Source organism: Homo sapiens, chromosome 2, assembly GCF_000001405.40.
Source record: "Homo sapiens chromosome 2, GRCh38.p14 Primary Assembly".
In the NCBI taxonomy this organism is placed as follows: domain Eukaryota; kingdom Metazoa; phylum Chordata; class Mammalia; order Primates; family Hominidae; genus Homo; species Homo sapiens.
In genome coordinates this window covers 227683400-227706225 of record NC_000002.12, presented here as the reverse complement: position 1 = coordinate 227706225, position 22826 = coordinate 227683400, and the positions used below count along the sequence as shown (strand labels likewise).

Sequence of the window (22826 nt, the reverse complement as noted above, 5' to 3'; positions counted from 1 at the left end):
ATAATATGACGGGATCAAAATGGAATGATAAATGGAAAAAAGACAAAAGAACAGTCTATTCCAGAATAATACTTTGTTGTGGAGGAAGTGATCCTCCCAAACAGCACAGGTGGTTACTATGTTTATAAGGGACATGTGTTCATATTTAGTGCATTTTTTCTTCTGCATTTTTTTTTTTCAGACAGGATCTCACTCTGTCGCCCAGAGTGGAGTGCAGCAGCATGATTACAGCTCACTGCAGCCTCGAACTCCTGGGCTAAAGTCATCCTCTCACCTCAGCCTCCCAAGTAGCTAGGATTACAGGCATGCTTCACCACACCACGCTAAATCTTTGTTTGTTTGTTTTTTCATCAACTTTTATTTTAAGTTCTGGGGTACATGTGCAGGATGTGCAGGTTTGTTACACAGGTAAACGTTTGCCATGGTGGTTTGCTGCACAGATCAACTCATCACCTTGGTATAAGCCAAGCATCCATTAGCCATTCTTCCTCCCCCGCCTCCCCATTTCCCCGACAGACCCGAGGGCATGTTGTTCGCCCCATGTGTCCATGCGTTCTCATCATTCCATTCCCACTGGCCAGGTTGCCGAGAAAAATAAATGCTTTTACATTGTTGGTGGGAACGTAAATTACTTCAACCATTGTGGAAGACAGTGTGGCGATTCCTCAAAGATCTAGAAACAGAAATACCATTTGACCCATCATTCCTGTTACTGGGTATATACCCCCAAGAAATAGAAATTATTGTATTATAAAGATACATGAACATGTATACCTTTTTTTTTTTTTTAAGAGATAGGGCCTCGCTATGTTGTCCAGGCTGGTCTCAAACACCTGACCTCAAGCAGTCATCCTGCCCTGGCCTCCCAAAGTGTTGAGATGACAGGCATGATCCACTGAGCCCAGTCTTCCTCTACAACTTCTAACTTAGTACCGTGTCCTATAGTAAGATAGTGTACATTATGATTATATATTTGTATTTATATATTGCTGACCCAAACAGAAGTTTCAGAAAAAAAGCTTAGCCTTTCTCTGCAATGCATTCTGATAGTTAACATTTTTTGTACCATTAAAAAAATCCAACACTTTGGGAGGCTGAGGCGGGCGGATCACCTGAGGTCAGGAGTTTGAGACCAGCCTGGCCAACATGGCAAAACCCCATCTCTACTAAAAACACAAAAATTAGCCAGGCATGGTGGGTGCCTGTAATCCCAGCTACTCTGGAGGCTGAGGCAGGAGAATCACTTGAACCCAGGAAGCGGAGGTTGCAGTGAGCTGAAATCGTGCCACTGCACTCCAGCCTGGGCAAAACAGTGAGACTCCATCTCAAATAATAATAATAATAATGCTGTTTGCAACCCCATACTAAATTTCCTTGACACCACAATATGAAAAGCACTGTTTTAAAATAAACTGAAATTGGATTTTTATTTTTATTTTTGAGACAAGATCTCACTCTCACCCAGACTGGAGTGCAGTGGTGTGATCACAGCTCACCGACACCTTGATCTCCTGGCCTCAAGTGACCCTCCTGCCTCAGCCTCCCAAAGTGCTGGGCACCATGCTCAGTTTAGAATGGGAATTTTGAGGATATAGCCAGGCTGTCTCAAACAGAGGGTAAGAGGAAAGATAGCTGAACTTGGAATTAGGAAACTGAGACCAAGTCCAGGCTCTGATGTTTGTTAAAGGTGAAAATGAGCACAAATCTTACTACCTTTAGTCCTCCATTTCCCCATCTATCCAGTGACAACCATACCACCTCCATGTGCCTCACAGAATGCTCCAAGAAAAATTAAATCATTTTCAAAATGTAAAAATTATTTTAAAAGATTGCATAAGTAATTCAATTATCATAGTCCTAGTCGTAAATGGTAAAACACTTGGAGATCTGAGGACCTTTCTGTCCTGTAAGGCATGCAGCTAGGAAGTGAGATGCACTCACGAAAACCAGGCAGCACTTGAATTTATTCTCAGTGGTGAGGCGTGACTCATGCCCTTCCTTCTATAAGATTGTCTTCCCTAACTCCTGGATTCTTGCCTGTTCCTGACACTTCTCTCTTTTCACCCTTACCCTTCTTCAAGTAGACTGTAGTGGTTTGTTTATTCAATTCATTCAGCATCTTCCTTGAGTGCTATGTATTAGGTGCTATGCTAGGCACTTAAGACAATGTGGTGGACCAGGCAATACGCCCTGCCCTCCTGGGCTTGTACTTTAGTAGGGCATGTCTTATTATAGGTTTTTTTCTGCTTGACCATCCCAACTAAATCGATTTGGACAGCTGTATTAGAAACCTAAAGAAATAAAAAGATAGATAATCCAGCAGGCTTTTAGCAGCCTGTGGATCACTGTGGCATAGTCCTAGGTCTCAGATGCACAGAGAAGATGATGACCTGGATTTAGAGAACAAATCCGTGGTCAGCAAAGGTGGAGAGGAGGCTCTGGATATAGAGCCAGCAGATGCTACCCCAGCAAGACCACTCTTCAGAAGATGACCAAGCCTCAGTGATCACCTGTCCAGGACAGCCATTTCTATAAGATCATTAACAACGAAGACAGAAAGCACCAGCAAACCCAGCAGCATTCCAGGAAGAAGAGAAAGCCCTGTTTTCTGGACTAAGGGAGTAGGTTAACAGTCACTGTAATTTGCCTTTGGCAAAATTTTCACATTGTCAGCATTGCTCACTGATGCTGTAATCCTAGTTTCAAAATCTGATCGCTCTTGTCTCTCCACTGCTTAATCAAGGGCTTTGTTGACATAAACAGTGTTTACCCTATTGAACTTAAGAGAGGAATTATGCAGCTGTCGGGGTCACCTTGGGAAAGGGTAGGGTGAGTGGCAAGCCGCAATGATGTGACCTAGTAGGTCCTTCCTACCTCCCCAACCCCTAGTAAAGCTCCCCACCCACTGGATACCTGGAATTCCACCCAGGTAAGACTTGCTATTCCGGAATGAGAATGCTTTTCCTTCTCTCTCGTCTGCTTTCAAACTGCAATTGACCCTAAAAGCTCTATATATGTAACCATAATCTTTAGTGTGAATGTGTTTATAAATACACGTTTTTTCCCTCACTGTGGTTGTCATTAGGTTAATACCAGTAGCTGAGGGGGCCTCCAGAATGAGGGAGAGTGGAGTGGGTGAAAGATTCCTGATGGGAGTAGGGAGACCTGGATTCAGATCTTGATCATGTGGTTTGAAGCCAGTGTTTGGGCATCTTGGATCTTCCATATGCTCCTCTGGGAATGTGGGGAAATGATATCTGTCTTACAGTTATTATGTAGATTTAAGGAGATAGTATGCAGAAAAGCATCATACAACAAATTAGTTTCCTTCCTATAAATGTATCTCAGAGAACTTAGCCACATGCAGGACCATCAAAAATCTATAAACATTACAATAAGGCAAAGCTTGAGCTAAAATGTGGAGGAATTAGTGAATTTTCCTGTGCACATGATAATTCACATGAGATAGCAAGATGTTTTCAAATATAGCTGCCATACAATGATTGTTTTTTGTTTTTTGTTTCTTCTGTGCAGTGACAAATGAGATCCTCTATTGGGCTTTATGTCTAAAGCTTGCATTTCAAGCAATTTCCTCACTCGAGGTCAGGAGTTCAAGACCAGCCTGGCCAACATGGTGAAACCCCATCTCTACTAAAAATACAAAATTATCCAGTCATGGTGGCAGGCACCTGTAATCCCAGCTACTTGGGAGGCTGAGGCAGGAGAATGGCTTGAGCCCGGGAGGCACAGGTTGCAATGGGCTGAGATCATGCCACTGCACTTCAGCCTGGACAACAGAGCGACCCTCCATCTCAAAAAAAAAAAAAAAATCAGGTTTTCATCGCATCAAGGATGCTAAAAAGAATAAGCATCACTTAATTTTCTCTTTGTTTCCATTTGATCAGCCATGGATTGTTACAGAACTTCACTAAGCAGTTCCTGGATTTACCCCACTGTGATCCTCTGCTTATTTGGTTTTTTCTCCATGATGAGACCCTCAGAACCATTCCTTATCCCATATTTATCTGGACCAGATAAAAACCTGACCAGTGCAGAGGTAAGTTAACATACATACATATCTTAATGTGGTTTTTTAAATTTTATGGGACTTGAACAAGGATACAGGGCTTCCCTCAACTTGATATAAGATGAACACATTAAACTCAGTGAGCCTGATTTTCATAATATGTGTCCCATATAGAACTTTTCAAACTATTTCCTCTTCTTACTTGCAAAAAATTGCAGCCAAAACATATTACATGTGTTAACAAATTTTTAACTTGCATAGAGTCCTAACATTTGTGTTAATGATAGGAGACTTTCAGGTCTCCGTTGATTCTATTATACTAATCCTAAAATAGCATCACTGGCAGGCACAGGATCTAGATCTAAATAAACTCTCAGGCTGCTGAGGGATAAGCAGGATCTCATAAAAAATTGTGGTATTTCTTTATGACACTGTTTGCCAGCAGGTGAGCCATTAACAGCTTTATCTCCCAGCCCTTGCCTCCTTCTCTGGAATGCCAGTTTCTCTTACTTAAAAGAGCAACGCCTTTCTTTTTCTTTCTTTCTTTCTTTTTTTTTTTTTTTAATTGTTTTTGTTTGAGATGGAGTCTCACTCTGTTGTGCAGGCTAGAGTGCAACGGGGTGATTTTGGCTCACTGCAACCTCCGCCTCCCAGGTTCAAACAATTGTCCTACCTCAGCATCCCGAGTAGCTGGGACTACGGGCATGAGCCACCATGCTCGGCTAATTTTTGTATTTTTAGTAGAGACAGGGTTTCCCCATGTTGGCCAGGCTGGTCTCGAACTTCTGGCCTCAAGAGATCCACCCGCCTCGGCCTCCCAAAATGCTGGGATTACAGGCGTGAGCCACCGCCACCGGCCTCGCATTTCTTTATAAGAAGTACAACAAGAAAATGCACTGACCTAACTGCAAAATTACCCTGGGCTGATTTTACAATCTCCAGCCTTAGCCTTGAAAACACTGTGTAAAGTGTGTGGCTTCGCCTGCAAGGCTGATGGGTGCCTCGGGTGGTGAGGTGGCAAAGACAGAAAGGCAAGCTTCTTCTGTAGCATCAGATCACTTAGGGACAACCCTGTTTCCGAGTTGCTCAGGTTGAAGCATGCCACAATTAAGACAACAAAGGACAGATGCAGGGTCAGAAGCAACTCAATGAATCCACTGGGTTCTGCTTCTCGAGCCACTGTGGACCAGTTAACAGACCTTCCCTCCAAGGAGCAGCTCAGTTGTGTGGTCTTTGCTCTGTGGCCTCCTGCTTTCTCCAGCAACCTCAGTGATCCAGGTGTCAAGGTGGGTACGTTCAGTGATTTGAGAGGCTGCGGCACTCACCCATCCCTACAGATCAGCAACTCCAGTCCTTCCAACTGTGAAAATTGAGATCCCATGCATTTCTGACTAAATCTGTGAGATGATCCATATTAAATTGAGCCATAAACAAATCAGCAGAATTGTTAGGGGGAGCAGGGGGAAGGTTGGGAACCTAGCAAATTTGCCCATGAAGGAAAATGAGATACATTATTTGCTTCCACTCTATAATGTGGCAAAGTTATTTACTCTTTCCCTATTTTCCCATATCTTTCCAGATGTTGGAAGGGCTGAAATATTTGATGTAGTGATAGATCACATGAAAATAAAGGCTGTTGGATTCTTTTTGTTGTTGTTGTTCAGATGGAGTCTTGCTCTGTTGCCCAGGCTGGAGTACAGTGGCACAGTCTCGGCTCTCTGCAACCTCTGCCTCCTGGGTTCAAGCGATTCTCCTGCCTCAGCCTCCCAAGTAGCTGGGATTACAGGTGTCTGCCACCATTCATGGCTAATTTTTGTGTTTTTAGTTGTAGACGGGGTTTCATCATGTTGGCCAGGCTGGTCTCGAACTCCTGACCTCGTGATCTGCCTGCCTCGGCCTCCCAAGGTGCTGGGATTACAGGTGTGAGCCACCATGCCTGGCCTGGATTCTTTTAACATTGTGGTCTACTTGTCTAATGTTAATATTCAAACAAGAAGGAAATTATATTTTTTAAGAATCTTGGGCCGGGCACGGTGGCTCACGCCTATAATCCCAGCACTTTGGGAGGCCGAGGTGGGCGGATCACCTAAGTTCAGGAGTTCAAGATCAACCTGATCAACATGGTGAAACCCCGTCTCTTCTAAAATACAAAAATTAGCCAGGCATGATGGCGGGTGCCTGTAATCCCAGCTACTCAGGAGGCTGAGATGGGAGAATGGCTTGAACCTGGGAGATGGTGGTTGCAGTCAGCGAAGATCGGGCCACTGCACTCCAGCCTGGGCAGCTGAGCAAGACTCCACCTCAAAAAAAAAGAATCGGAAAATCTTAGAAGTGTCCAAAAACTTTTTAACTCATCTACTCAACTGTACATACTATCTAAACTTAATACATAATTCAGATTGCACAATAAGCCAATATATTTTTCTGCCGGGGTTTATCTAAGTGTGTACATTGGTTTTTACCAATGGGAAAGGAGACTATCTTTTCTTGTGATTTCCTTGAAAATCAGTTTTCTCATTATGTTTCTCCGTAATGCGAATAATTTCCAATTGGAGGCAGAATTTGAGATACAAACCACAGGTACCTTAGTAAAGTACCGGTGCTTCGTGGTCATGCAATTTACCAACTTTGCAGATAACAAATGAGATCTTCCCCGTTTGGACATACTCCTACCTGGTGCTGCTGCTGCCTGTGTTTGTCCTCACCGATTATGTCCGCTACAAGCCAGTCATCATCTTGCAAGGTATCAGTTTCATCATTACCTGGCTGCTGCTGTTGTTTGGCCAAGGAGTGAAGACCATGCAGGTTGTAGAGTTCTTCTATGGGATGGTCACCGCCGCCGAGGTGGCCTACTACGCCTACATATACAGCGTGGTCAGCCCCGAGCACTACCAGAGAGTGAGCGGCTACTGCAGGAGCGTCACGCTGGCCGCCTACACAGCAGGGTCGGTGCTGGCTCAACTCTTGGTATCCCTGGCGAACATGTCGTACTTTTACCTCAACGTCATATCCTTGGCCTCTGTCTCCGTGGCTTTCCTTTTCTCACTTTTCCTACCAATGCCCAAGAAAAGCATGTTTTTTCATGCAAAACCCAGCAGAGAAATAAAGAAGTCATCAAGCGTGAATCCAGTATTAGAGGAAACTCACGAAGGTGAAGCACCAGGCTGTGAAGAGCAGAAACCCACATCAGAAATACTCAGCACTTCAGGGAAGCTGAATAAGGGCCAGCTGAACAGCCTGAAACCAAGCAATGTGACTGTGGACGTTTTTGTGCAGTGGTTCCAAGATTTGAAGGAGTGCTACTCCTCAAAACGTCTTTTCTACTGGTCTCTATGGTGGGCTTTCGCCACAGCAGGTTTTAACCAGGTTTTGAACTATGTTCAAATCCTGTGGGATTACAAGGCGCCATCCCAAGATTCTTCCATCTATAATGGGGCCGTAGAAGCTATTGCAACCTTTGGAGGTAAGCAAATGTCACTTAATCTTCCTTTGTTGGCTTTACCCGCTTAAGTCCATTCCTCCAGGTACCGAACTTCATGGCAGCGAATTAGCTCTGTTCAGAAGGAAGCATAACTTTTTTCAGTCAAGAATGAAAGTCACGGCCGGGCATGGTGGCTTATGCCTGTAATCCCAGCACTTTGGGAAGCTGAGACGCGTGGATCACGATTTCAGGAGGTCGAGACCATCCTGGCTAATGCAGTGAAACCCCGTCTCTACTAAAAATACAAAAAATAAAATAGGTAGGCGTGGTGGCGGGCACCTGTAGTCCCAGCACTTTGGGAGGCCGAGGCTGGCGAATCACGAGGACAGGAGATGGAGACCATCCTGGCTAACACGGTGAAACCCCATCTCTACTAAAAATACAAAGAAATTAGCCGGTCATGGTGGCGGATGCCTGTAGTCCCAGCTACTTGGGAGGCTGAGGCAGGAGAATGGCATGAACCTGGGAGGCTGAGCTTGCAGTGAGCCTAGATCGTGCCACTGCACTCCAGCCTGGATGACAGAGCGAGACTCCTCTCAAAAAAATAAAAATAAAAATAAAAAGAATGAAAGTCACTGGAAAAATAAGAATACTGTGACTTTCTATTGTGTTGTAGTTACAAGTAACTTTTTTATTTTTTGAGACAGAGCCTCACTCTGTCACCAAGCTGGAATGCAGTGGTGCGATCTCAGCTCACTGCAACCTCTGCCTCCCAGGTTCAAGCTATTCTCCTGCCTCAGCCTCCTGAGTAGCTGGGACTACAGGCACGTGCCACCATGCCCAGCTAAATTTTTTTGTATTTTTAGTAGAGACGGGGTTTCACCATGTTGCCCAGGATGGTCTCAATCTCTTGACCTCATGATCTACCCGCCTCAGCCTCCAAAAGTGCTGGGATTACAGGCGTGAGCCACCACGCCCAGCCACAAGAAGTAACTCTTAGGAGCTCAGGGATTAGCACCAAACAATGAAATTCTAGTTGAATCCCTAAGATTCCAATTCATCATTAGCACAAAGGTTAATAACATGCCCTGTTCTTTTAGGATTATTTTTAATATCAAAATATATACATATATGTGTATATGTTTTCATTATTTTAGAAAATAAATTAAGGATTCCAAATTCTCACTGAGGGTTTTGTTAATACAGGATTTGAACTAGCTAGCATGCACCTATAACAATTCTAGGCTATACACCAACAACTTTCAAAAGCAGCTTTCTCATGGTATTTAAATGAGGGCTGGAAGAGATGTGAAAGTCAGGATTTTAATATCAGAGGGAAATCTGTCTTTGAAGTTTAATCTACAATAAATGTTTATTTCCTAGTAACTGGAAGCTTAAATGTCAAATGAGACTTTGAAGATATTTTTTAGGAAGTGAGAATTCGCCCCACCCTCATTTACAAAAAGTTTTAGAAAACCCGTGTGACCTCTATTTTATTATTATCTCCCTTTTGGGAAGCTTCAGTTTAACTCCTGGAAACCAGGACTGTGCCAGAATTGCTTCACTGAAATTATTGCTCCTACATTCCAAATCCATGGGGGGAAAAATAGTTATTTTTTTTTTCCTCTGTGGTCATGATCACATGTGGGAAAGTTAGTCATATGTCAATGTAGTAATTTGAAATCTAAATACCTTTTGTTTATTTATTTATTTTAGACAGAGTCTTACTCTGTCACCCAGGCTGGATTGCAGTGGCATGATTTCAGCTCATTGCAAACTCTGCCTCCAGGGTTCAAGTGATTCTCCTGCCTCAGCCTCCTGAGTAGCTGGGATTGCAGGTGCCCGCCACCATGCTGGCTAATTTTTGTATTTTTAGTAGAGCTGGAGTTTCACCATGTTGGCCAGGCTGGTCTCTAACTCCTGACCTCAAGTGATCCACCCCCTTCAGCCTCCCAAAGTGCTGGGATTACAGGAGTGCGCCACTGTCCCCAGCCCTAAATACCTTTTACCTTTGTTAAAGAGAACCACACAAAAGTGCTAACCCTAATTACTGTCAATTATTTCAATTTCTTGAACTCTGTAAGTCTATATAGATATTTTCACCCAAAGCTTCTCAAGTAAATTATGTCAGATGTTGAAGACTTTAGAGTGGAGATTGGAAATAAGACTAAGATTACTAAAGGTTCATAATAAAGACTAAAACTGGGTAGGGCAAGAAAAAAGACTAAAACTTTCAATGTAACACATCTGATACTCATCACTGAAAAAGACTTACAGCAAAAACTGAGAAAAGAAAGGCAAATAGAGAGGCCAGTGTATTCCCAGAGAATTTATTTCATCCTTTTCCATCCCTGCATGTTGTACTGAGTGACTAGGTTAATGTATCATTTCTCCTTACACTGCTGTGGTTAGGAACCTTTCTGGCCCCTCTGCAGAATACAGTGTCTGGCGTGTAGTTGATGCTAATTAAAAGTATGGTGACTAAGTGACCGAAAGAATAGCAAGTGAAAAGAAAAGCCAAAAGAAGACACGCTTGAGAAAAGGATAGATCCACATTCAGGTCGATCACACAATTTTGTGAAAGCAATATATTTATCTTTCAGAATTACCCGAGACCTGGGTTTTTAAGAGAGGGTGTTGATATTTTCCTGCATGCAAAGTCATTATGTTTGATTGCCTTCAATGTTTTTTTTCAGGGGCTGTGGCTGCCTTTGCAGTGGGTTATGTGAAAGTCAACTGGGACCTTCTGGGAGAGCTGGCTCTGGTGGTCTTCTCAGTTGTCAATGCCGGTTCTTTATTTCTCATGCATTACACAGCCAATATCTGGGCGTGCTATGCTGGCTATTTGATATTCAAGTCCAGCTATATGCTTCTTATAACCATAGCAGTGTAAGTTTTACCAACCACTCCTAAAACTGAACTGTATTCCTCTCTCTTCTGTCTTTCTAAACTTTCTCTAAGAACTTCAGAAGGATTTTAGTCAATTGCAATATTAAATGTTGACTGCTTTATATTAAATTAGACACAACTAAGCCAACTTTTCATTTAACTATTTGCTCTCTGAATATTGCTACAATATACCTTAAGTCATCAAGGGAAAAAACTCTGTAGGTTTATAGACCAAAAGCAGTGATACATTGTCAGGTTTTTCTTTTTGTTTTATTTTGTTTGAGAGATGGCCTGGCTCTCTTGCCCAGGCTGGAGAGCAGTGGTGCGATCACGATCAGGACTCAATGCAGCCTTGACTTCCCAGGCTCAGGTGAGTCCCCAACCTCAACCTCCTGAGTAGCTGGGATGACAAGCATGTGCCACCATGCCTAGCTAATTTTTCGTATTTTGTAGAGATGGGGTTTCACCATGTTGCTCAGGCTGGTCCCAAACTCCTGGGCTCAAGCGATCCACCTGCCCTGGCTTCCCAAAGTGCTGGAATTACAGGTGTGAGCCACTACATCTGGCATCATTGTCAGGATTTGATTTGTTTATTTCCAGCAACTTTCTACATAAAGTGTGATGTGATCTGCTTTCAAATGGTTAGGTTTAGATTTCATTCCTACTTTCATTTGTTTGCTTGAGAAATTCTAAGCACATACTTTTATGACACAAAAGATTCTCAGGAAAGTTATTAAAAAGTTGGATACTAAAAAAAGTAGATGCAAAGATAACAAGAAACCTTTAGCTGCAGTCGTGTATGGAACCAAGCAGTTTTTCTTTTCTTTTGTTCTTTTTGAGACAGGGTCTCACCCAGGCAGGAGTGCAGTGGTGCAATCATAGCACACCACAATCTTGATCTCCTGGGCTCAAGCAGTCCTCCCACCTCAGCCTCCTGAGTAGCTGAAACTACTGGTGCACACCACCATGCCTGGCTAAATTTTTAATTTTCATTTTTGTAGAGACAGAGTGTCACTGTGTTCCCCAGGCTGGTCTCAAACTCCTGGGCTCAAGTAATCCTCTGGCCTCAGCTTCCCAAAGTGGTAGGATTACAGGTGTGAGCCACCACGCCAGATCTAGTTTTCAGTCATTTTCTAAAAATAATTTCTGGGATTTAGAATTTCCCGTCATTTTTGCTTCTACTTTTTTCTCAGAGATCTCTTTAAGAAAATGATTAAAAAACCATTCGGTTTCATATAAAAGTACAGCTAAAGCTGACTACAGAAAATATGCTTTGCTATTAACCAAAAAAAATGAGAAACATTTGAATTTCAAATTGCATGAAAGAAGTGGAGACAAAAGCTTCATCAAGTTTTGCTTTCAATTTGTGAAGAATGTTTTATAAACAATTTACAACACAGAAATATGAGCACTCTGGGAAAAAATCATCAAAGGAAAAAACAATTAGTTGGTATGTTTATTTTCTTCATGGAAATGTCTTAATTTAATCAGAATCATGTATCTTAGGTTGCTTTTTTTTAAATGTGAAGATTTTGTTAAAGTAGGATTATATCATTTCTTTGCATTAAAAAAAAATATTCACGGCTGGGCACAGTGGCTCCCGCCTGTAATCCCAGCACTTTGGGAGGCCAAAGCAGGTGGATCACCTGAGGTCAGGAGTTCGAGACCAGCCTGGCCAATATGATTAAACCCCGTATCTACTAAAAATACAAAAATTAGCTGGGCATGGTGGTGAGAACCTGTAATCCCTGCTACTGGGGAGGCTGAGGCAGGAGAATCCCTTGAACCTGGGAGGCAGAGGTTGCACATTCTCATCAGCATTTATTGCTTGTTTTTTGGATAAAAGCCATTCAAATTGAAGTGAGATAATATCTCATTGTAGTTTTGATTTATAATTCTCTTATCAATGATGTTGAGCACCTTTTCATATACCTGTTTGCCATTCGCATGCCTTTAAAGAAACATCTGTTCAGATTTTTGCCCATTTTTAATCTGATTATTAGACTTTTTTTCCCTGTAGAGTTGTTTGAACTCCTTATATATTCTGGTTTTTAATCCCTTGTCACATGGGTAGTTTGCAAATTTGTTTTTCCATTCTGTGGGTGGCCTCTTTCCTTGGCTGTGCAGGAGCTTTTTAACTTGATGTGATCCCGTTTGTCCATTTTTGCTTTGGTTGCCTGTGTTTGTGGGGTACTCAAGAAATCTTTGCCCACTCCAACGTCCCAGAGAGTTTCCCCAATGTTTTCTTGTAGTTGTTTCATAATTTGAGGTCTTAGATTTAAGTCATTAATCCATTTTGACTTGATTTTGTATATAGTGAGAGATAGGGGTCTACTTTCATTCATTCTTCTGCATACGGATATTCAGTTTTCCCAGCACCATTTGTTGAAGAGACTGTCTTTTCCCCAATGTATGTTCCTGGCATCTTTGGTGAAAATGAGTTTACTGTAGGTGTGTGGGTTCACTATTGGGTTTCTGGGTTCACTCTTCTGTTCCATTGGTCTACATGTCTGCTTTTATGCCAGAACTATGCTGTTTTGGTTACTATAGCTCTATAGTGTAATTCAAAGTCAGGCAATGTGATTCCTCCAGTTTTTTGTTGTTGTTGTTGTTGTTGTTTCATTTTGTTTTGTTTTGCTTAGGATAGCTTTGACTATTCTGGGTCTTCTGTGGTTTCATATAAATTTTAGAATTGCTTTTTCTATTTCTGTGAAGAATATCCTTGGCATTTTAATAGGGATTGCATTGAATCTGTAAATTGCTTTGGATAGTATGGGCATTTTAACAATATTGATTCCTCCAGTCCATGAATATGGAATATCATTCCATTTTGTGTGTGTGTGTCCTCTTCAATTTCTTGTATCAGTGTTTTATAGTTTTCATTGCAAAGATCTTTCACTTCTTTAGTTAATTCTTAGGTATTTTATCTGTAGCTATTGTAAATAGGATTACTTTCTTGATTTCTTTTCCAGATTGTTCTGTTTGCATATAGAAATGTTATGGAGTTTTGTATGTTGATTTTATGTCCTGCAAATATACTGAACTTATTTATCAGTTCTAATAGTTTATTGGTAAGAGTCTTTAAGTTTTCCTAAATGTAAGATCATATCGTCTGCAAGCAAGGATAATTTGACTTGATCCTTTCCAATGTGGATGCCCTTTATTTCTTTCTCTTGTCTGATTGCTCTAGAGAAGACTTCCAGTGCTATGTTGAATAGCAGTGGTAAAAGTAGGCATCCTTGTCGTGTTCCAAATCTTAGAGAGTAAAGCATTTCAGCTTTTTCCCATTCAATCTGGTACTAGCTGTAGGTCTGTCATATATGGCTTTTATTATGTTGACTATGTTCCTTCTATACCCAGTTTTTTGAGGGTATTTAGCCAGAAGGAATGTTGAATTGTATCACATACTTTGTTTAGCATCAATTGAATGATCATAGTTTTTGTCCTTCATTCTGTCGATGTGATTTATCACACTGATTGATTTACATATGTTAAATGATCCTTGCATCCCTGGGATAAATCCCACTTAGTCATGATAGATTATCTTTCTAATGTATTATTGAATTCAGTTTGCTAGTATTTTGTTGAGAATTTTTGCATCAATATTCATCAGAGATTGGCCTGTAGTTGTTTTTTGTTTTTAATGTGTCTGGTTTGGTGTTAGGGTAACACTGGCCTTGTAGAATGAGTTTGGAAGTATTCCCTCCTCTGTTTTTTAGAATAGTTTGGTTAGGATTGGAATTAGTTCTTTGATAGAATTCAGCAGTGAAGCCATTGGGTCCTGGGCTTTTCTTTAGTGGGAGGCTTTTTATTATGACTTCAATCTTATTACTTATTATTGGTCTTCTCAGGTTTTGGATTTCTTCATGGTTCAATCGGATAGGTTGTTTGTATATAGGAATTTATCCATTTCTTCTAGATTTTCCAATTTATTGGCATATACTTGCTCATAGTAGCCACTGATGATCCTTTAAATTTCTGCAGTATTGGTTGTAATGTTTCCTTTTACATCTCTAGTTTTATTTACTTGGGACTTCTCTCTTTTTCTTAGTCTGGCTAAAGGTTTGTCAGTTTTATCTTTTCTAAAACCCAACTTTTTGTTCATTGACATTTTGTATTGTTTTCTTCATTTCAATTTCATTTCTTTCTGATCTGATATTTATTATTTCCTTTCTTCTACTAATTTTGGGTTAAGTTTACTCTTACTTTTCTAGTTCTTTATGACGCATCATTAAGTTATTTATTTCAGATGACTTTTTTTTTCTTCTTTTCTTTAAGAGACAGGGTCTTACTATGTTCTCCAGGCTGAACTGCACTGGCGTGATAATCTCTACTCACTGCAACTTCTGCCTCCTGGGCTCAAGTGATCCTCCTGCCTCAGACTCCTGAGAAGCTGGGATCACAAACATGCACCACCACACCTGGCTAATTTTTGTGTATTTTTGGTAGAGACAGGGTTTCACCATACTGCCCAGGCTGGTCTAGAACTCTGGAGCTCAAGTGATTCATCTGCCTCAGCCTCGCAGAGTGCTGGAATTATACACATGGGCCACCACACCCGGCCTCTCTTCTTTTTTTTATGTAGGCACTTGTAACTATAAACTTCCCTCTTAATACTGCTTTCACTGTGTCCTATAGGTTTTGGCATGTTGTGTTTCCATTATCATTTATTTCAAGAAATTTTTCAGTTTCTCTCAATTTCTTCATTGACCCACTGGTCATTCAGGGGCATATTGTTTAATTTCCATGTGTTTCTATGGTTTCCAAAATTCCTCTTGTTGTTGATTTCTAGTTTTATTCTATTGTGGTCAGAGACGATGTTTGATATTAATTATTTCAAATTTTTGAATATGTTTTAAGAGTTGTTTTGTAACCTAACATGGTTTATCCTTGACAATGATCCATATGCTGAGAACAATGTGTATTCTGTGGCCATTGGATGAAAAGTTCTGTAAATATCTATTAGGTCCATTTTTTCTATAGTGCAGATTAAGTCTGATGTTTCTTTATTGATTTTCTCTCTGGAAGATCTGTCCAGTGCTGAAAGTGGGGTTTTAAAGTCTCCAACTATTACTGTATTGGATTCTCTTATCTCCTTCTAGCTCTAATACTTGCTTTATATATGGGTGCTCCATACGTTAAAAAAAATTTACAATTTTTTTTTTTTTTTTTTTTTTTTTTTGAGATGGAGTCTCGGTCTGTCACCCAGGCTGGAGTGCAGTGGCACGATCTCAGCTCACTGCAAGCTCCACCTCCCGGGTTCACACCATTCTCCTGCCTCAGCCTCCCGAGTAGCTGGGACTACAGGCGCCTGCCATCATGCCCAGCTAATTTTTTGTATTTTTAGTAGAGACGGGGTTTCATCGTGTTAGCCAGGATGGCCTTGATCTCCTGACCTCATGATCTGCCCACCTCGGCCTCCCAAAGTGCTGGGATTACAGGCATGAGCCACCGCGCCTGGCCGTATTTACAATTTTTATATTCTCTTGCTGAATTGACCCTTTTATCATTGTTTAATGACCTGTGTCTCTTACAGTTTCTGTCTTGAAATGTATTTTCTCTGCTATATGTATAGCTACAAGTCCTCTTTTTTTGTTTGTTTCCATTGGCATGGCATATCTTTGTCCATCCCTTCATTTTCAGTCTATGTATGTCTCTATAGGTAAAATGTCTTTCTTGTAGGCAACAGGTCATTGGGTCTTTTTAAAAATCCATTCAACCACTCTCTTTTGAAGAGTTTAGATTGATAAGTAAGGACTTACTCCTGTTATTTTGTTATTTCTTTTCTGGTTTTGCAGTGTTTTTCCTTTTCTTTCTTCCTTTTAGTGAAGGTGATTTTCTCTGGTGATATAATTTAATTTCTTTTTTACTTTTTGGGTATCCATTGCATGTTTTTCAATTTGAGATTACCATGAGGCTTGCAATACTATCTTATAACCCATTATTTTAAGCTGATAACAACTTAAGACTATTTGCATAAACAAACAAGCAAAAAGAAAACTAATAAAAACTCTACAGTGTAGCTTTGTCCTCCTGCTTTTTAACTTTTTGTTGTTTCTCTTTATATCTTATTGTACTATTTGTCTTGAAAATTTGTAGTTACTATTTTTGATTGGTTCATCTTTTAGTCTTTCTACTTATGAGAGTAGTTTACATACCCCAGTTACAGTGTGATAATATTCTGTGTTGTTCTATGTACCTATTATTACAAGTGAGTTTTGTGCCTTTACATGTTTTCTTATTGCGCATGAACGTCCTTTTCTTAGAGATGGAAGTACTCCCTTCAGCATTTCTTGTAGGACAGGTCTGGTGTTGATGAAATCCCTCAGCTTCTATTTGTCTGGGATGGTCTTTATTTCTCCTTCGGGTTTGATATTTTCACTGGATATACTATTCTAGGGTAAAAGTTTTTCTCCTTCAGCACTTTAAATATGTCATGCCACTCCCTGGTTCTAAAATTTCTACTGAAAAGACTGCTGCCAGACATTGGAGCTCTCTTGTATGTTATTTATTTCCTTTCTCTTGCTCCTTTTAGAATCCTTTCTTTATCCTTAACCTTTGGGAGTTTGATTATTAAATACCTCTAAGTAGTCTTCTTTGGGTTAAATCTGCTTGGTGTTCTGTAACCTTGTCCTTGGATATTGATCTCTTTAGGTTTGGGAAGCTCTCTGATATTATCCCTTTGAATAAACTTTCTACCTCTATCTATTTCTTTACCTCCTCTTTAAGGCCAATAACTTAGATTTTCCTTTTTGAGGCTGTTTTCTAGGTATTGTAGGTGTGCCTCATTCTTCTTTTTTCTGTTGTCTCCTGACTGTATTTTTAAATAGCTTGTCTTCAAGCTTGCTAATTATTTCTTCTGCTTGATCAGTTCTGCTGGTATGAGATTCTGATGCATTCTCAGTATGTCAATTGCATTTTTCAACCACAGCATTTCTGCTTGATTCTTTTTAATTATTTCAATCTCTTTATTAAATTTATCTGACAGAATTCTGAATTCCTTCTTTGTGTTATCTTGAATTTCTTTGCGTTTTCTTAACACAGCTATTTTGAATTCTGTGTCTAAAAGGTCGTATATGTTTCTCCAGGATTGGTCCCTGGTGCCTTATTTAGTTTGTTTGGTGAGAACGTTTTCCTGGATGATCTTGATGCTTATGGATGTTCATCAGTGTCAGGGTATTGAAGAGTTGTATTTATTGTAGTCTTTGCTGTCTGGGCTTTTTTGTACCTGTCCTCCGTGGGAAGGCTTTCCAGGTATTCAGAAGGATTTGGGTGTTGTGATCTAAACTGTATCTACATTAGGGAGCACCCCAAGCCCAGTAACACTGTGGTTCTAGCAGACTCTTAGAGCTACTGCTTTGGTGGTCTTGGATAAGATCCAGAAGAATTCTCTGGATTACCAGACAGAGACACTTGTTCTTTTCCTTTACTTTCTTCCAGACAGTCTCTCTCTCTCTTTGCTGGACTACCTGGAGCTGGAGGTGGGTGACACAAATACCCCTGTGGCCAATATGTTCTATCTTTTTAAGACTTCCATCCATGTATATTATAGTTAAAATGCTTATTTATGTTTAATGATAGATTTCAGATTGCAGTTAATCTGAATGTGGAACGCTATGCCTTGGTATTTGGAATCAACACCTTTATTGCCTTGGTGATTCAGACCATCATGACTGTGATTGTAGTAGATCAGAGAGGGCTCAACTTGCCAGTCAGCATTCAGGTAAGCTGCAATACTTCTGTTTTCAACTAGGTAACCTCAAAAATTTCTCAACCTTACAACAAGCAATATTTAAATTTCTTGAGTTCCTTGGTTAAGCAATTAAAAAATACATAATTCCTTCATTATCATATTATAACACACCAAGTAGGTTTTGAGCAATAATTGCAACTAGGACAACATTTACATGGATAAGGCAGGTAAGAAGTAACCTCAATGCTTAAATTTATTCTTGGAGACATTGAATGTAGCATTGCACCAGCCTCCAAACAAAGACATAGAGACAGGTCAATGAGTTTTAGTGTTTTTTTGGGTTTGTTTTGTTTTGTTTTTTACTATTGATGATAGTAACTATGATTTTAACCCAAGCAACCTGCTCTAAAGCCAAGACTCTTAGTCACCGTATTGCTTACACCTTCTTACTTGATCTTGATTTCTTACTTGATAGGAGAGTATTGTTCAACCTAAATGACCCATATTAAAAACCTGGGTCTCAGTTACCCCATAATCCAAGCAAACCAACAGTATTAGGATGTATTATCATTGACATAGATGGTCATATTTTATATGTGGCTAATTATTTGTTTTTCTCCAGTTTTTAGTTTATGGGAGCTATTTTGCAGTAATTGCTGGAATTTTCCTAATGAGAAGCATGTATATTACCTACTCAACCAAATCCCAGAAGGATGTACAGAGCCCTGCTCCAAGTGAGAATCCAGATGTGTCTCACCCAGAGGAAGAGAGTAATATCATCATGTCAACAAAACTCTAACCTCATCGCAACAAACGCAACAGTGGCTTTCAAAGTTATGCAATAATAAGGAAAGATTTTGAGATGGGTGGCATATGTTTTGCCATAACTTGACATGCTTTGCAAATCTGGATTCCAATGGACCTTTCAAAACCACAACAAAACCTCAGTTTTAGATGAGTTCTCTATGTGACCAATTTTACTGGATGCAATTGACAGGACCCGTCATCATAATTAAACAACCCATATTGGGGACCCCCTGTGACTAGTAGCAGCTGGAAAATTCTGGTTTTTATCACTTGTAAAGACATGCAGATGGCGTGGAACCAAACCATGAGAAAACTCCAGCCATCCTGGAGTTGATATTCACCATTTGTGAGGAGAAATACTAACTGGACTGACCCTATTGCTAGGCTTAAATACTTATTTGATCTTACCAAAGAAGTCAACACATGGGACCTTTGTGTCACATGAACCATTTTCTTTCCTCTTCTATTAAGTGTATTTCTGTTTAAGTTACAGTTCTCTAAGAGAATTACAATGTTTGTCCCATTTCTAAGGGCTTCTCTTCAACTCTAATAACAGCATTATTCACGTTATGATTTGATAGTATTATTATTTAATTTTTTTATGATTATTTTCCATTTTGTGCTCTGAGTTTTGCTGTTGAAAGTCTCCCTCAAGAATAGCTTCAGATCCTCTTGTGTATTTGCAGAATACACAAGGTCATTTCCCAGTGGCCTGGGAGAGGCAGTGAGCCTTCTCTCCACCACCATAGACAGGTGTTAATGCATCTATGGGCCAGGTGCAGTGGCTCACTCCTGTAATCCGAGCAATTTGGGAGGCCAAGGTGGGAGTTTTGCTTGAGGCCAGAGGTTCAAGACCAGCCTGGGCAACACAGTGACACCTGACTCTACTAAAAAATTAAAAAATTAGCTGGGCAGCGTGGTGTGTGCCTGTAGTCTCAGCTACTTGGGAGGCCATGGTGGGAGGATGGGTTGAGCACAGGAGTCAGAGGCTACAGTGAGCTATGATTGCACCATTGCACTCCAGCCTGGGCAACAGAGTAAGACTCTCATCCCCCTCCTCCCAAAAAAGAGCACCTGTGTGGTGTCTGTCTAAAATAGGAAAACTTAAAGGAGGTTTCTAGAAGTATTAGAAATAAGAAAACACTGATGGGGGGAGTGGAATAAAACACCTGATTTTGTTTTGTTTTGGTTTTTGAGACAGTCTCGCTCTCTCACCCAGGCTGGAATGCAATGGCGTGATCTTGGCTCACTGCAAACTTCACCTCCTGAGTTCAAGCCATTCTCCTACCTCAGCCTCCCAAGTAGCTGGGACTATGGGTGCACACCACCACGCCTGGCTAATTTTTGTATTTTTAGTGGAGATGGGGTTTCACAATGTTGGCCAGGCTGGTCTCAAACTCCTGACTTCAGGTGATCTGTCTGCCTCGGCCTCCCAAAGAGCTGAGATTACAGGCGTGAGCCACCATGCCTGGCCAAAACACCTGATTTTTAAATGGTAGCAATTGTGCTAAATAAAATGTGTAAAAATTTTAAAGAGTTGTTAACATTTTTTGATGAATTCTGCTGAAAATTATCTGAACATACCTGTTTTTCGAAACTTCAAGAAACTTCAATAAGGGATGCATTGAGCAGTCTGACAGTGAGAATAAAGAATGCTGAGTCAAGATTTATATTAAGGCTGGAAGCTGTGGCTCACACCTGTAATCCCAGCATTTTGGGAGGCTGAAGTGAGAGGTTAATTTGAGGGTAGGGGTATGAGACCATCTTGGCCAATATAGCAAGACCCTGTGTCTAAAACAAACAAAAAAATTTTTAATTGGATTTTGATATGGTTTGGATCTGTGTCCCCACCAAATCTCACGTTGAAGTGTAATCCCCAATGTTAGAGGTGGGGCCGGCTGGGAGGCGACTGGATCATGGGTGTGAAGCCTTCATGAATGGTTTGGCACCGTCCCCTCAGTGCTGGTCTCATGACAGTGAGTTATCGTGAGATCTGGTAGTTTAAAAGTGTGTAGCACCTCCCCACTCTCTCTTTCTCCTGCTTTGGCCACGTGAAGATGCCTGCTCCCACTTTGCCTTCTGCCATGAGTAAAAATTCCCCGAGGACTCCCTAGAAGCAGATGTTGCCACGCTTCCTATATAGCCTGTGAGCTAATTAAACCCCTTTTCTTACAAACTATCTAGTCTCAGGTGTTTCTTTATAGCAATGTGATAATGGACTAATATGTTTCTCAAGTATACTCCTCTCCAAATCCCGAAATTCTTCACTGGACTAAGATCCAGCCCAAGAATCAATGCACTCACTTAGTGGAGAAAACTAATAACATTCCTACTTACATTAAAGGCAAGGAAGGAATGGCCGCTATTCTTTTTCTTCTTCTTCTTTTTTTTTTTTTTTTTTTTTTTTTGATAGAATCTTGCTCTGTCACCCAGGCTGGAGTGCAATGACGCAATGTCAGCTCACTGCAACCTCCGCCTCCCGGGTTCAAGCAATTCTCCTGCCTCAGCCTCCCGAGTAGCTGGGATTACAGGCGTGCACCACCATGCCCGGCTGATTTTTGTATATTTAGTAGAGACGGGGTTTCACCATGTTGGTCAGGCTGGTTTCAAACTCCTGGTCTCAGGTGATCCGCCCGTCTCGGTCTCCCAAAGTGTTGGGATTACAGGCTTCAGCCACCTCACACCCAGTCTATTATCCTTCTTTTTTAACTTATTATTCTGGAGGCATTAGGCATCACAATTAGACAAACAAGAAAAATCAGAGGTCAGAAATTGGAAAGGAGGCCAGGTGCAGTGGCTCACGCCTGTAATCCCAACACTTTGGGAGGCTGAGGCGGTCAGATCACATGAGGCCAGGAATTGGAGGCAAGCCTGGGCAACATGATGAAACCCTGTATGTACTAAAAACAACAAAATTAGCCGGGTGTGGTCCATGCCTGTAATCCCAGCCACTCGGTGGCTGAAGCATAAGAGTCACTTAAACCCAGGAGGCAGAGGTTGCAGTGAGTTGAGATTGTGCCACTGCACTCCAGCCTGAGCGACAGAGTGAGACCCAAAGTGGATTAAAAAATGCATTATGATTCCTTCACATATTCACCTATAACAAAATTAACTGCTAAAAAATGAGGAAGATCTTTAGTGACACAGAACTCTAAGAGCTCTACTATCAAGTGGAAAAAAGTCAAGCACCAAAATAATAATGAACGCAGCAACTCAGCATTTGTATAAAAAGGACAAAAATATCTGTATTGGCTTATATATGCGTATAACTTTTCTAAAAAGACAAATGAGGCCTGGCACGGTGGCTCATGCCTGTAATCCTGGCACTTTGGGAGGCTGAGGTAGGTGGATTGCTTGAGTTCAGGAGTTCAAAACCAGCCTAGGCAACATGGCAAAACCCTGTCTCTACAAAAAATACAAAAATTAGCTGGGCATGGTGGCTTGCACCTGGACTCCCAGCTACTTGAGGGGATGAGAAGGGAGGATCGCTTGAGCCCAGGAGGTGGAGGTTGCAGTGAGCTGAGATCATGCCACTGCACTCCAGCCCTGATGACAGAGTGAGACCCTGTCTTGAACAAACAAACCAACAATCAAACAAATAAATAAACAACTGAAACTCATACCAATGATTGCCTACTGTGGAGTAATGGGAAATGGGAGGGAGACATCACATTCTCATGGTGTTTGATGCTTGCACCAAATGAATAACCCACCAGTAAATTAAAATACGACTTTTACAAAAAAGCATTTAACCTCTTGGGAAATAAATTCGCATTGAAGAATAAGGAGCTGGAGATTTGCCATGCAACCATTATGATAGTTTTATATTTTTGGCAATGTGAATGGATTACTAAATGTGCATTTATAATTAAAAGGAACAAACAACAGAAGAAAAAAATAAGTGGGCCTGGTTGGGCACCTTGGCTTGTTCCTGGAATCCCACCACTTTGGGAGGCTGAGGAGGGAGGATCGCTTGAGCCCAGGAGTTT

The 22826-nt window shown here is 41.0% G+C and overlaps 1 protein-coding gene across 6 annotated transcripts in view; it reads left to right on the top strand.

Moving 5' to 3' along the window:
* Window positions 1–22463, top strand: part of SLC19A3 (solute carrier family 19 member 3) — a 34266-nt gene extending 11803 nt beyond the window's left edge. For 4 of the 6 annotated variants that reach the window (NM_025243.4, XM_047445927.1, NM_001371411.1 and 1 more), the window contains 5 exons: window positions 3906–4057; window positions 6662–7490; window positions 10145–10337; window positions 17919–18060; window positions 18653–22463. In NM_025243.4, coding sequence (NP_079519.1) covers window positions 3908–4057; window positions 6662–7490; window positions 10145–10337; window positions 17919–18060; window positions 18653–18829 — 1491 coding nt within the window. In that variant the 5' untranslated portion in view covers window positions 3906–3907 and the 3' untranslated portion in view covers window positions 18830–22463. Of the gene's footprint in view, window positions 1–3905; window positions 4058–5117; window positions 5314–6661; window positions 7491–10144; window positions 10338–17918; window positions 18061–18652 lie in introns of all 6 variants that reach the window. The other 2 variants (NM_001371413.1, NM_001371414.1) reach the window with 1 other exon arrangement.